This window comes from Homo sapiens, chromosome 5, assembly GCF_000001405.40.
Source record: "Homo sapiens chromosome 5, GRCh38.p14 Primary Assembly".
NCBI lineage: Eukaryota > Metazoa > Chordata > Mammalia > Primates > Hominidae > Homo > Homo sapiens.
Window position 1 is genome coordinate 83,102,456 of NC_000005.10, and position 16,445 is coordinate 83,118,900.

Consider the following 16,445-nt stretch of genomic DNA (forward strand, 5'->3'; position numbering starts at 1 on the left):
GGAAAGCCTTCTTTGGGACAGGCATAGACTTTTCAAATCCTCAGCAGACATATCCAGAAGTCAGCAATAGGGCATAGGAGATCAGAGTTGGAAACTTTTTTCTTGTAACTTGTTCCAGAATCAGAACTGGCTGTTTTGTTTCCCACACATCTCATATGATTGCAGAATATAAGCTTGGTTAACTACCATTTGATGGGAGACTGGAAATAAAAGTCTTAGTTTTGTTTTAGAGTAGTCTTAAAACAACAGCTCCTTATCTGGCAATGCTGTCACATGGCAGAAGCTCCCTAAGCATACCTCTTTCATGGTCCAACCCTGTTTCTTTATCTGGTAACTTTAGAAGTCTGGTTTTTCTTAACATCAGATCTACTAGACTTTCACATTCCTACTGACAAGCAAAGTGCTGTGGTAAGAAGAGCAGGTGGTGGATTTGAGTCCTTGCACCACCACTTAGTGTGTGATCTTGGGTATTAAACTTTACCTCTGTTTTTTATTCATACAATGAGGATCCTGTTAGTTGCTATATTCATAGGGTTCCAGTAAAGATAGAGCTGATATATATATATATATATATATGTCAACATATTTCCATTAATTATAGTACTTAATGGATTATTATTTAGTCACTAAGAATGCTAGGTGTAAAACTCTGTGCCACCATGAAAAAAGCTGTTTATAAGGTTTATTTAAACATGCGTGTCTGTGGATAAAGACAGAGGGAAATGTTCAGATAATCATTGTTTTGGGAAGGGCAAGATTAGGTTTTTAGAATTTTTATATTATGTGGTTGTCTGTTTGTTCAAGTAATGAAGTTCTTGTGCAGTTGCAAAGTACTTAACAAATGGATGATGGTGATCTTAGATCTGACTCCCTTCTAACTCTAACTTTCAGTATTACATTGTGTACCCCTAATTTTATTTTCTTCTTTATTGTATGAAGTAAAAAATTGGCTAACATGAAAACCATGGAAAATGTTTGCAAGAATGTGCAGTAATCAGAATTCTCATACTATCAATTGTAAACTGGTACAACGCTTTTAGAAAAATATTTGCTGTGTAGCACCAAAATTGAATATATCCATATCCTCTGATCCAACAATTTTACTCTTAGGTATATACTCAACAGAAATGCATATGTATTTGCTAGAGTGTTTCTGCCAGCAGTATTTGTAATAGTCAAAATCTAGAAAGTACCCAGATGCCTACCACTAGTGGAATGGATAAATAACCTGTCTTATACTCATATAATAGACTACTATACTGCCCTGAAAATCATCTATCACTTTAACACATAGTGTGGATGAATCTTTCAAACATAATGTTGAGCAAAAGAAGCCAGACACAAAATAGAACATGCTGTATGATTATATTTACATAAAGTAGAGAAATATTCAAAGCCCTCATCTCTGTTAGAAGATAAGATAGTGGTTATTTGGAGAGGCCAGTGGCTAGATTGGAGGGAGTGTGAGAATGAATTTTGGGTAGCAATGTTCTGCTTCTTGATCTAGGTACTACTTACATGGATTTGTTCAACTGTAAAATTCATTGAGTTGTACTTTTGTACTTTTGATGTATGTACTTTTCTGTCTATATATAATACTTAAATACAAAACTTAAAGAATGCAGAAACATTTATTGGCCTCAGGCTGTGATAATCTGATGCAACTTATCTCTATTACAGAGTGCCCCTGTCTCAGTGGATAGGGTGTTTCAGTCACTGAGCCTGGTCATCTCTGCCTTAGACAAGGCATGACTGGATACTATCAGCTGTTGGGTTGTGAGATTTTTTTTCCCCCATTGAATTATACTTACTCAACTTTTTCATTCCAGACAGTGTCTCCAGACAGAGACTAAGATACTTGGTCAATTTTATCCTTTCTAATTACTGTAATATTTCAGTAGTGAGATCAGTTCCAGGTCATTCTCACAAGTTCTTGCAACCATTTCTTTTGTGGTAGAAAAAAAGCCTATTGAATCTGGGGGAAAAGAAGTGGTAAAATTTACTCAGCATATTGTTGAGATGATAATTTTTTGTTTTTTTTTAGTAGAGACGGGGTTTCACCATGTTGGCCAGACTGGTCTTGAACTCCTGACCTCAGGCAATCTGCCCGTCTTGGCCTCCCAAAGTGCTGGGATTACCGGTGTGAGACACCGCGCCCAGCTGAGATGATAATTTTTATCTTCATTACTTGGACAAATCATTTTCCATTTATGGGCCTCTGCTTTTCTCATCTGTAAAAATTGTGAATTAATATTGAAGAAAACTGTGAATTTACTGAATGTATTATTTACTGAATTTAATGGTTGAATCTAATGGTTGAACCTATTATACAGTTTTTTTGTTTTGCTTATTTTCTTATTTCCTTGGTGTTTGTGTAGCTGAGAGGCCAGTACAGAAAACATTATTTGAGTTACAGTTTCTTTTAAAAATATTAATTGTATTCTCCCATTACAGGTATTAAGAAATGGAGAGAAAAATAAGCAGAATCCACCTTGTTTCTGAACCCAGTATAACTCATTTTCTACAAGTATCTTGGGAGAAAACACTGGAATCTGGTTTTGTTATTACACTTACTGATGGTCATTCAGCATGGACTGGGACAGGTAATACTAAAAACAAAGTTTTTATAAGTAAAATTTAAGTGTGCTATTCTTCAGTCCTCAGGGATACTTTTCCATTAGATATTGGGTAAAACTGATATTAATTTTACTTGCTATTGCTGTCAAATTTATACACAGGTTTGTAATATTTAATGCCACTTTCTATATTTAATAGTAATAGAAAAACAAACGTGTCCTAGAAAATTCCGGTTACCATTTGAATCTTAGTAACTTGGATTTGTTCAGAGGTTTAAAATGACCTCTTTATAGAAAATATAAATAGTACTTTCTAAATACATCTTTTCTCAGGACCCCAGGGAAGAAGTCTGGGGCAGAGGAAGGAGATTGGTTAGGTAAATGGGTATGTGTGTTGCCTTGGGGCAATGGGGTAGTGGTGGGTTATTTATTTATTTATTTTCCCCAGTGAACATATATTACATTTGTAACAAAACAGGACCAGAGTCTAAAAATTTGTAATGCAAGGTTCACACCCACATTTAGGATCTTGGCTGTGATTTTAGGAAATAGATTTTTTTAACTCTTTGGTAATAATATTTTAAAAATGCTAATGACCCTCAAATCATGTATGGAACATGGTGGATATAAAGTAAAAATATGTAGCCTTATATTTTCCTTATATACGAAGTTTTAATACTCTTCTAAAGTATCTTATTGAAAGATTTAAAGAACTATTTTTATAATTATGCAAAAGTCTTTTCTAGAGTTATGTTGTGAATAATGTTTTCTGTAAGATAATTTTTACATGTTAATTTACATACTATTTATATCTTCTATTAACTTTAGAAATATTTCTCTAGAATTTGTTACCATGATTATTATATCGTCTTTAAAATTACAATACATTGTAAAATTTTGTTTCTTTCTTGAGCGTTATGAATTATGTTATACAACACAGTCAAATTGAATTTATACTTACAGAGTTTCAAAAAAATTGTCTTTTTTGACACAGAACAGGTAATGTTGATGTAGGGATTCCTGTAAAATAAAGAATTTTCAGGGGTAATATTTGCAGTACTTATTATGATATCTATTTAAGCTACACATTTATCTGTAAGAGAAAGCAGAAATCAGATTGGTTGTTGCAGTTCAAGAGTAGAAGATTTGTCAGCTTGGTTTTATGTATGCCAGAGAGATTATATCCAGAAGACAATATTTCTTGTTTTAGGGTGAAGAGTGTATAAGGCTAAAGACAAGGGCAATAGATTAATGCTGGTCATCTGGGTAAGAAGAGCAGTTCTAACAACACAGCTTGGAAGCAAGTCCTAGGGGAAGTGGTTGCTTGTATGTAAGGAATACTGTATTTATAACTTTAGGTATTTCTAATTGGCAAATGGCGTATTCTGTATACTTAGTTGTTGTCAGACAGATGACCTTAAGGTGTTTCAGGAGCCTTAATTATCAAAGGAAGAGGCTGAATTCTAATCTAGTCCATAAGCCTCATTCACCAAGATAAAAATCAGTGATAATATGTTATTTGAAATTTTTTAATCATTAAGTATTGGGGGAAAAAAGAACACTCCATTAACTCTTATCTCTTAATTTAACCAGAAATGTAAGAACCTTACATTTATGGAACATTTCGTTTATATCATACAATTGTGCTGGCATCATTCTTAATAATATTAACATGAATTATCATTTCACTAGATGGTACTGATTTATACTGAGGGTAAGAGACACATTTGGTTTGTCAACACTCTTTGCAATTATCTAGACCGGTACCTACGAAATACATTCTCAATGAATACTTTTTTGATTGAAAGAATGAAAGGATGTCTCAAATATATAAAACTGGTCTGCGAAAAAAGAAAATAAATTGTTCATTTTAGAGTTAGCATGTTTTTGAATGAAAACTCCAGTTTTATATTTACTTATTGTTGACATTTGTCATAACTGCAGTATATTCTACCATTTATTTTTTAGCTAGTGGAATTTAATGTGACAAAAATGTGATATCAAACTTATGTATTCTCAGGTGGATTGTTACCATTTTGGTTTCCTGTACCAAACAAGCTTTAAAACAGAAAATTTTATAGTGCACTATGTGGTCATTTTATTTTCAAAAATATCTAATAGTGTTTAAATCTCTCATGTGTTTTATGCCTTCATTCATTTCTGTTTTCTTGTTTACATATCAGGGACAAAATAGGAAATCAAATAATATAACACTGTGCCCATGTTTAGTTAAGGCTTATTCCATAAATGTGATCTGGTACTTTACATGTAGACAATAACATCACTAAGGACATTGAAACAATTAAATAATTGAAACATGGAAACGGATTTCCTTCCGATACCTCATCCTGTTTTTTTTTGTTCAACATTTTGATTACTGCAACCTTCAATTTGGACAATTTTTTTTCTCTTTTTATTTGAGTGAAATTAAAAGGATGTAAGTTTTCTTTTAATCTCCCCTACACTAAACTCACTGATTTCCATTAGCAATGTTTTATCTAATGAATGTTTTTGAGGTCCAATTATCTAATTATCATGTGGTCTATCATCACATCAGTATTACAGGCGGTTATATCACAGGGGTAAGTCACAAAGTGGGTTAATGATCGATGACTCTGACTTTCATAAGAATTCCTATTGGCAGTAGGAAACTTATATCACCCATCTCTGGAGTAGTTTGAAGTTTATTAAAGAGTAAATTAAACTTTACTAATTGTTCTATTATCCACTAATTAGATCCACTTATAATTATCTTGAGTGTAAATATTTTTTGACTTATATGGAAATAGTGACAGAACTCAGTGGAAAGAGGATTTTAATAAATCAAGCAGTGAAATGGGTTTATGATGCAATACCAACTAGAATCCTAATGGTATGATAAGACTGTATGTCTTCTGAGCTCCAGTACAAGCTTAGGATGTGTGCAGGCTTTTGGCTAGTTATATATAGGTATCTGAAGGAAAAAAATCTTCTTTCCTCACTTACATCTTCATCTACCTATAAACACTGCAAAAGTGATGCTTTTCAGTGTTAAAGTGAGTCTCAGTCTGACTTCTACCAGTTCCTTGTTTTTTGGTCATGTTGGGCTGCTCATGTTTTATGCCTTATTATGTGGTTCAGTTGCATTCTTGCTGAATTTTATTATTTCCATTGCCTTTATTCTTGGTCACTGAAGTTTTAGAGCATCGCGTGCTTACAGCTATACTTTTTCCAGATGTTCTTGGCACAGAATTCAAAACTGGTGACCAGGTTGGTTTTTTAGGATTGAAGCCCTATGTAGGCAGTCAGATTTCCATGTTTACTTTTATAGGAATTTTTCAAGTACATTTTTGAACAAATAGCTGTTTTACATAATTAATTTCCTTTCATACGTTTTTTTCTCCTTCAAAAATTAAATATTCCGTAATAATCAGCACAGTATTTATTAGGAGAGGAAAATAAGAGGATATCTAGGATGATAACTGACAGATATCTAAAATGTTGTCTAAGATATTAGCACTTGAATTTGAGCTCCACAGGCTAGCATTTTTGGAATGAATGAATGATTACATATTTTCAGACAGGTATCTTTTCATTTTAATGAAATTTAGAATACTTTTAACTAGATGCTTTTTAAATAGATGTTCTCTGTTTTCTTTTGTGTTTTCTTCAAGTTTTTCTATGGCCGCATTAAAGATGGCATCTACAAATTTATTTCCTATTTCTCTGTGAAATAACTGTTCTTCCTAGGTATTGGTGAGTTAAAGTTAGATAGTTACTTTTTAACATAATGCAAACACAAAATATGAAATTATTCCTTAAATAGGAAGCATTTATCTTCTTCTTTTTTTTTTTTTAGAAGAGCTACTAGGGCATTTGAAAGATCAATAGGTTTGATAGTGATGATCATATTAAATGTGTCCACTTCCAATAGAGAAAATGTGAAAGTGTTTTAGAAGCTGTTAATATATGAATATAAGCTATTTTTATTCTTACCTCCTTCCAAAGGTTGTGTGACGTATGAGAATCATATTTTATTATCAAAACTTGTTATCAAAAATTGATCATATAAAAATATTGGTACCTTGCAAGACTCCCTTTTTCATTAACTGTCATGGGTCTTCCAGACACTTGATAGCATAGAGACCAAAGGTATGAAAATGTGTGTTCCATTTTAGGGATTCTTTAATCATGATTTCCTTATATTCTGTAATATTTTATACTAATGTTGTTTTTCAAAATTATGGATGGAAATAATTTATCCAATGTTTCATGTCTCTGCTTCACCTCAAAATAAAACATGCAGAGAGATATGAGTATTAATCCCAGCTTCACTAGTTACTTACTTCATCACCCTAGACCATTACTTGATCTCTGTGAGCCTCAGTTTTCTCTTTTGCAAAATGAAAATAATATCTGTTTTTCAGTTTTATAAGGAATTAAAATAGATAAGTGTAATGCATAAGTATGAAATTATACAACCATATGAGACTTTTATCATTACTGTGATAGCCTAAATTAACACAGGAAACCATCCAACCACACACACATTCCAACAAATAACGAGATTGAATCTTGTAATTTTAAAAACAAACAAGTATGCAGACCCATTGCCACTTTTGAGTGTAAGAAAGGGAAAACCTCAGACACCATGTTTGAAGAGGTATTTCAAAACCAAAGTAATTGATGAGAATTAAAGCTTACTTGTAGATTCATGGAATATCTGAACTAGATATACTTCTAGATGACAGTGAGTATAATGTTTGAGTGAGGTAGAATGTTGAGGCTTCAGACCTCTTAGGGAATTGGAGTTGAGCTCTCAGCATAAAGAAAGGAACCTGGAAAATATATGCTGTTAATAAAATAATCTTTTAAAAAAACTACTACTCTCTGTCCAGAGGATGCAGCATAAAAACAGAACAATCCCTAAGGACTATGAGTGAATAAAAGTCTCAAGAAAAATCAGAACCCTAAACCTGTGTTATGTGTGGATGGGAGGTTTAAAATGGAACACTTTGCCTCAAATGTAAAAATCGAGGTGAGAAATTAACTTTCAAAACTAGTCCCAAACTGATAAAACTTGTAATGACCCCCAGAAAGGCAACCTTCATTTAAGACCACTTCTTCCCAGAGCACTTGCCACTTTGGCTAGAGGTGAGCTGTACTCAAATGTTACAAAGCATGAAAGGAAAACAAGTAAAACAAGAATTTTTCCACAGATAGAAGAAACATAATTTATACCCCAGGAGCCACACATAAATACAGAAATGAAAGAGATCTTAAAATACGTTTATTTAAATATTTAAAAGAAGGGTAGGATAAGAACAGGATATAATGACAAAGGAACAAAGATAATATCTAGAATTGAAAATATAATTATTGAAACAAAAATCTCAATGATAGTAAAACATCAGCTTTAAAAATACCTAGATAAGAGAATTGGAAGCGGTCTCTAGTATAGTATGTGTTGCAGAGGAGATGCTCGTACATTTTAGTTTCCTTCCTATTATTTCCTTATCATCTCCTTTCATCCATATTTTCTGTTGTTGGCACATGATATGAGAATAGTGAGCTCCACTTTTGCTTTTGTTTTACTCTGCCCATATGAGTGAGAAACACAGTATAGGCTATTGAATCTTTGATGCAAGGAAGAAAGATGTTATAAAATACTGAACTTATTATTCATTGTAGGAAATTATCTGGCTTTGACCTAAGAGCAGTTACACAAAGTGGGAGTTTCTGTAATAATTTACAATGCGTTTCATCTGAAGACAGAGAAAGAATGTCAAGGGTTTAATGTATTTTACGAGATGTGAGTCTAAATTAATGCATTTCTCAAAAATTGCTAGTTCAGTAAAAAGGAATAATTTGATTTAAAAATGTGTAGTATAGGGATTGATTTTACTTGTTTGAATTTCTGTTACATGTGATAAATTAGTACTAACAGATAAACTAATATTTTCTCATGTGTAGTCATTTACTTTTCATTTTAAAACTTTTGTTAATATTTCCCATAGTTTCTGAATCAGAGATTTCCCAAGAAGCTGATGACATGGCAATGGAAAAAGGGAAATATGTTGGTGAACTGAGAAAAGCATTGTTGTCAGGAGCAGGACCAGCTGATGTATACACGTTTAATTTTTCTAAAGAGTCTTGTTATTTCTTCTTTGAGAAAAACCTGAAAGATGTCTCAGTAAGTAAAACTTTCCAAAATGTTACATAGTAAAATGTCAGAGCATTTATTGAGGAATTATATTTAAATTTAAGTGACTACTATATTATTCCCAGAACACCTCAGAAGCAAAAGCTTGAAAAGTACTTGGTTTCCAAATTAGAAGAATACTTCAAAGCTAAAGTCATTAAATATATTAATGAATCATGAAAAATAAATATTGGAAAATGTGTTTAGTTTTTAATGCTTGAAAAATTTTAAAGTATTACAGAGTTAATTATACAAAAGAATAATCTTGAAAAAGGTGAGATCAGAAGTTTTAGGCCATCGTGACAGGTCTTATTGAAAAAAGTTTTGTGAAATATTGATTTTAAGAAATAAAATCAATCAAAATATATCTTTGAATATAGAATAATTATGACTTATTTTCTACTTTACTAGAGTATATTTGAAATTGAAAAATGCATAGTAAGTATTAAGGATACTTTATATTGTCAGATTTAAAAATATTAAAATAGAAATAACTTGAAGCCTAAGCTTTGCAAACAAGAGTATCTGCTACTTATTCTGCTCAGTTCCTGCACCAATTCAGATCAAGGCAGGTGGTTTATTTATTAAAGTCTGGCACTAATTATTTGTATATTTTACCTAAGTTTAATAGATACTGAATTTGTTTTTTTAACCAGTGGTTTTCAGTCATATATGAGATCTATCATTTCTGAAGGAGAGGGAAGGAAATGTTTGCTACATTAAGTTAACAGAAATGTATTGAGAATTTGTTTTAGTGCTCAACTGAGTTTAGGAAATTCTTTTAAATCAACCTTTTAAATTTGGAATAATTAAAGAGATTTCATTAATTAGATAAACATTTGTAGAAACAAATGGAGTCATTATAAATTTATATTATCGTGTAGGGAATAATGCAGAGAAACTACCCTTAGTAATTTATATTTAAAATAAACATACTTTTTCTAATTAGCTGCCAATTTATATAAGTTTCAATATGCTGAATTTCTTAAAATGGTAATTTAAAATAGGTTCAGTAAGAAGGTTGGAACTAGCTACTACAATTTTGTTATTTATTGTAAGTGTTCTTTCCTGTGGCCCAAGCTCAATCGGATGATATTATATGTTACAGAAGTGCAGACTCTTCTAATGTTTTGAAGCAGATCATTGCCAAATTGGGATTAATGCCATTTCCCATTCACTAAACATTTGCATGTAACAACTAGCATTATTTTGTGCAGCGATTTTCTAGTTTTTATCTGTTTCACACATATTGATACATAATAAATTCCAAATTAGTGAGGTACATTTTAGAAGGCTGAAAGGCTTTTGAAATTTTTGACATGCTAAAAGACGGGGCTTGGTACAGTTGGCATGTATATTAATCTGTTCTCACACTGCTAATAAAGACATACCCAAGGCTGGGTAATTTATAAAGGAAAAAGATTTAATTGACTCACAGTTCCATATGGCTGGGGAGGCCTCACAATCATGGTGGAAAGCAAAAGAGGAGCAAAGTCACATCTTACATGGTGGCAGGCAAAAGAACATGTGCAGGGGAACTCCCCTTTATAAAATCATTAGATCTCATGAGACTTATTCACTATCATGAGAACAACACAGGAAAGACCCCTCATTCAGGATTCAGTTACCTCCCGCTGGGTCCCTCTCATAACACTTGGGAATTATGAGAACTACAATTGAAGATGAGATTTGGGTGGAGACACAGCCAAACCATATCATTCCGCCCAGCCCCTCCCAAATCTCATGTCCTCACATTTCAAAACCAATCATTCCTTCCCAAGAGTCCCCCAGAGTCTTAACTCATTTCAGCATTAACTCACAAGTCCACAGTCCAAAGTCTCATCTGAGACAAGGCAAGTTCCTTCTACCTATGAGCTTGTAAAATCATAAACAAGTTAGTTACTTCCCAGATACAATGAGGGTACAGGCATTGGGTAAACATACCCATTTCAAATGGGAGAAATTGGCCAAAACAAAGAGGCTACAGGCGCCATGCAAGTTCGAAATCCAATAGGGCAGTCATGAAACCTTAAAGTTCCAAAATGATCTCCTTTGACTCCATATCTCACATCCAGGTGATGCTAATGCAAGAGGCGGACTCCCACAACCTTGAGCAGCTCCACCCCTGTGGCTTTGCAGGGTACAGCTCCCTTCCTGGCTGCTTTCATGGGCTGGCATTGAGTGTCTGTGGCTTTCCCAGGGGCACAGTGCAAGCTGTCGGTGGATCTACCATTCTGGGGTCTGCAGGAAAGTGGCCCTAATCTTATAGCTTCACTAGGCAGTGCCCCAGTGGGGACTCTGTATAGGGGCTCCAACCCCACATTTCCCTTCTATACTGCCCTAGCAGAGGTTCTTCATGAGGGCCCTGCCCCTGCAGCAAACTTCTGCCTGGACATCCAAACATTTCTTTCTTTTTTTTTTTTTTTGAGACGGAGTCTCGCTGTGTCACCCAGGTTGGAGTGCAATGGCGTGATCTCCATCTCCACTCACTGCAAGCTCCGCCTCCTGGGTTCATGCCATTCTCCTGCCTCAGCCTCCCAGGTAGCTGGGACTATAGGCGTCCGCCACCATGCCCAGCTAATTTTTTGTATTTTTAGTAGAGACGGGGTTTCACCATGTTAGCCAAGATGGTCTCAATCTCCTGACCTCGTGATCCGCCCGCCTCAGCCCCCCAAAGTGCTGGGATTACAGGCGTGAGCCACCGCACCCAGCGCAGACATTTCTATACATCATCTGAAATCTAGGCAGAGGTTCCCAAACCTCAATTCTTGGCTTCTGTGCACTCGCAGGCTCAACACCATATGGAAGCTGCCAAGACTTGGGACTTGTACCCTCTGAAGCAAGGCCCGATCTGTACCTTTGCCTGTTTTAGCGACTGCTGGAGTGACTGGGATGCAGGGAACCAAGTCCCTAGGCTGCACGCTGCAATGGGGGCCTGGACCTGGCCCAGGAAACTGTTTTTACCGCCTAGGCCTCTGGAGCCTATAATGGGAGGGGCTCCTGTGAACATCTCTGACATGCCTCGGAGACATTTCCCCCATTGTCTTGGTGATTAACATTTGGCTCCTTATTACTTATGCAAATTTATGCAGCAGGCTTGAATTTTTCCCCCAAATATGGGCTTTTCTTTTTTATTGCATCGTCAGGCTGCAAATTTTCCAAACTTTTATGGTCTGCTTCCTGTTGAATGCTTTGCTGCTTAGAAATTTCTTCTGCTAGATACCCTAAGTCATTTCTCTCAAGTTGAAAGTTCCACAGATCTCTGGGGAAGGGGCAAAATGCCCCCAGTCTCTTTGCATAGCAAGAGTGACCTTTAGTTCCCAACAAGTTCCTCATGTCCATCTGAGACCACCTAAGCCTGGACTTCGTTGTCTGTATTAGCATTTTGTTCCAAGCCATTCAACAATTCTCTAGGAAATTCCAAACTTTTTCACATCTTCCTGTCTTCTGAGCCCTCAAGTCTCTAGGAAGTTCCAAACTTTCCCACATTTTCCTGTCTTCTTTTGAGCCCTCCAAACTGTTCCAGTCTCTGCCTGTTACCCAGTTCCGAAGTTTCTTTCACATTTTCGGGTACCTTTATAGCAGCACTCCAGTCTACCGGTACCAATTTACTGTATTAGTCTGTTCTTACACTGCTAATAAAGACATACCCGAGGCTGGGTAGTTTATAAAGGAAAGAGGTTTAAATGATTCACAGTTCCACATGGCTGGGGAGGCCTCATAATCATGGCAGAAAGAGAAGGAGGAACAAAGTTACGTCTTACATGGTGGCAGGCAAGAGAGCATGTGCAGGGGAGCTCCCCTTTATAAAACCTTTAGATCTCATGAGACTTATTCACTTTCATGAGAACAGCACAGGAAAGACCCACCCCCATGATTCGATTACCTCCCACCATGTTTGTCTTACAACATGTGGGAATTATGGGATCTACAATTCAAGATGAGATTTAGGCCGGGTGCCTCCCAGCACTTTGGGAGGCTGAGATGGGCGGATCACCTGAGGTTGGGAGTTCCAGACCAGGCTGACCAACATGGAGAAACCCCGTCTCTACTAAGAATACAAAATTAGCTGTGCATGGTGGCGCATACCTGTAATTCCAGCTACTTGGGAGGCTGAGGCAGGAGAATGGCTTGAACCCGGAAGGCAGAGGTTGCGGTAAGCCAAGATCACACCATTGCACTTCAGCCTGGGCAACAAGTGTGAAACTCTGTCTCAAAAAACAAACAAACAAACAAACAAAAAAACAAGATGAGATTTGGGTGGGGACACAGCCAAACCATATCAGCCTGGATGGAGTACTTGCCATGACTGGCAGTACATCAGGTTTTACCCTTTCTATGAAGAAAGAGCTTTAAGTCCTCTTGATTCATGTCTTCTACAGTTGGTTTGGCATATATCAACATCAAAGACTCATAATAATCCTGAAAGATTTTTGCTTACCACCCTGAAAGTAAACAACTTTATCAGAGCCAGCATCTTGAACTACAGGTACTACCTTTTCAACAAATGTTCACAAGTAATGGAAGCAGCCTGAAAGATTACCAGCAATGCAAAAAGTGTGCTGGTTCCCCAGAGAATGTCTTAAAGCACTACATTGCAGTCTAAATATCTGTCTCCTTATTTATTCATTTATTTATTTGTTTATGAGAAAGAAAAGAATATTCTCAGAACGGCTTGACAAGGAGGAGTTTATTCATGGCTTGGCTTGAGAGATATTTTGGATATTTAGATGAGGTAAAACTTTCAGTGGATGGATGCAGCTGAGAGATCACAAGTTCATTTGGCCAAGGTGTCATGGGAGTCTTCCAGTATTCAGGATGTGCTTCTGCAGACTGATTTCAGAGTGACAATGTCTTGTAGATTCATCTGCTGGCAAAAAAAATCTGCAGACAATGGGAAACATGGCAGACAGAATACTTTTTTAAAGCTAATTTTGCTTGGATGACCTAAAAATTGAGAAGGAGTTTGTAATCCTTTTCTTGATGATACAAACATCTGATTGTTGCCAAAAATGACCTCCTAAACTTAGAAGAAAGGAAAAGAATGAACATAAATTCAACTAAAAAAGTTGTGAATTCTGTTGTTTCTTAATGTAAGGTTGCTCCTCCGTGACAAAGACTTGCTCCCAGATGCATACCTCTGGGAGTCAGGGTTTTAGGCATTTATTGCCATCAGTTCAAGAAATTTTGTGTATCTAATTGTGTGTTCACTGTGCAATTTGAACATTTTGAATATCTAACTTATATAAGAATTGTTTGAAATTTACATTTATAACAAACTTTCTTTTTTTCTTAAAAGGAAGTAACCACTATTTTAGTATTCAAAAATACCTGATATTTTGAAAATCCTGTCTTATGTTTTGTCTGAGTGAAAGAATTACCAGTTTCTCTCTCTCTTTTTTTTTTTTTTTTTTTTTTTTTTTTTTTGAGATGGAGCCTCACTCTGTCACCCAGGCTGGAGTGCAATGGTGCAATCTCAGCTCACTGCAACCTCTGCCTCCCAGGTTCAAGTGATTCTCCTGCCTCAGTCTCCTGAGTAGCTGGGATTACAGGTGCATGTCACCATGCCCAGCTGATTTTTGTATTTTTAGTAGAGACGGGGTTGTGCCATATGGGCCAGGCTGGTCTCGAACTCCTGACCTCAAGTGATCTGCCTGCCTCGGCCTCCCAAAGTGCTGGGATTATAGGCATGAGTCACTGTGCCCAGCCAGAATTACCAATTTCTAATGTAGTGAAATATTTAAAATTTTTAGCTTGTTTGTCAATATTTATACTCATGTTTTGGGAGCAGTGGGTCAGCAATTTTCATGAGATTGCTTTTGAGCTTATCCTCCCAAAACTTCCCTTAGGCTTTAATTGGCTTTTCTTTATAGATAACATAGATCCTTTTATTTTAACTTCATTCTCATTTGAATAAATGTTGGGCGAACAGCTACACACTAATTTCTTTTCTCCATAGAGTGCGAACCCATGTGACCCTTCCTGCCTTAGTGCTCTTCATTTAACAGTAGATTGTTCTGGTTGAAAGCATACTATAGTGCCAGCATTTGGAACTCCTCATCTCTTCAGCACAAGGACTGTCACTCACACAAGAGATCATTTGTGTGCTTTGGGCCACTGTTTTCCCTCTACCTTTAACAATTTATCCTGATTTTGCCATACAGACTTTGTCATGCTAACAATGCATCTTAATGAATAATGTATTCATCTTCCTTTTTTGCTTTCATATCTCACTCTGTTTCTTTAGAAAAATATTCATTTATGAGTCAAAGAAAAACAATTATTTTTGATAAGAATAACCTTGGGCTAGTCATTTAACCCTAATTTCCTCATGATTCTGTTTTTTCATCTGTGCAATTTTTAAGTGATTTCTTAGATTAATTCCAGCTTAGCTAACATATTGTAGAGCTACATATATATGTGTGTGTGTGTGTGTGTGTGTGTGTGTGTGTGTGTGTGTGTATGTATGTATATGTATGTATATATAAACATTTTGGCTATAAGGATATGTCTTTTTAAAAAAATTAATTTAATTTTATTTTAAGTTCTGGGATACATGTGCAGGATGTGTAGGTTTGTTACATAGGTAGACGTGTGCCATGGTGGTTTGCTGCACTTATGAAGCCATCACTTAGGTAGTAAGCCCAGCATGCATTAACTATTTTTCCTGGTGCTCTCCCCTTGCCTGGACCCCCTGACCAGCCCCAGTATGCATTGTGCCCCTCCCTGTGTTCATGTATTTTTGTTGTTCCCCAGTGAAGGAAGCTATGAGGTTTGAAGAAAAATTAAACATGATTTAATACATATATATATGTGTATGTATATACATCTCCACACACACACACACACACACACACACACACACATATGTATATAGTGAATATCTAAAACTCTAGAATTTGCTACAAGTCTCTAGTAGAATTAATGCAAAGTCTACTTCTATTTCTTTACCCTCATTTCCCCTACTACTTAAATAGCATAGAGGTTTATTTTTCAGTGATATAAAAATCCAAATAGGCAAACCTGGGTTAATATAATGGCTTTATGATATTGGAGACACAGGCTTCTTTGATCATGTTCCCTTGGCTTTTTTTTTTTTCTTTAATTGAGACAGGGTCACACTTTTTTGCCTAGTCTGGAGTACAGTGATGTGATCATAGCTCACTGTAACCTCTGACACTTAGGCTCACAAGAACCTCCTACCTCAGTCTCCCAAAGCACTGGATTACAGGCATGAGTCAGTGTGCCCAACAGTCTACTTTGTAATTTTTAACAGGTAGTTTTTATTTCATAGTCCAAGATGACTTGTCTAGTTTTACTATTATGTTCACCTTTGAGGCAGCAGGACCCAGTTAAAGAGACAGGAAATAATATGTGCTTTTTCTTTAAGACAGTCACTCCCAAATTTGATACATTCCTTTTGCTCACGTCCCATTGGCCAGAATGTAGTCACATGGCTTCACCTAGCTGCAAGGGAATCTGTGAAATGTGATCTTCAGCTGTGTCTTGTGCACAGAAGTTTTCATTACTGTGTAAAAACTGGAAGATGGATATCAATGGTCAACTAGCAATCTATGCATTTAACATGCAGGGAAGATTGAAATATCATTCAGAAGGCTTTGCTGTTTTTGTTGCAAGGATGTTTGTTTAGCATTTCATTACAAATAAGGGTTTCAGTCATATTTCAA

The 16,445-nt window shown here is 35.7% G+C and overlaps 1 protein-coding gene across 13 annotated transcripts in view; it reads left to right on the forward strand.

Moving 5' to 3' along the window:
• XRCC4 (X-ray repair cross complementing 4) overlaps positions 1-16,445 on the forward strand; it is a 296,927-nt gene that overhangs the window by 24,909 nt on the left and 255,573 nt on the right. For all 13 annotated transcript variants that reach the window (XM_047417695.1, XM_017009827.3, NM_001318012.3 and 10 more), the window contains exons 2-3: positions 2,455-2,603; positions 8,573-8,748. In XM_047417695.1, the coding sequence (XP_047273651.1) occupies positions 2,465-2,603; positions 8,573-8,748 (315 nt within the window). In that variant the 5' untranslated portion in view covers positions 2,455-2,464. The remainder of the gene's footprint in view (positions 1-2,454; positions 2,604-8,572; positions 8,749-16,445) is intronic.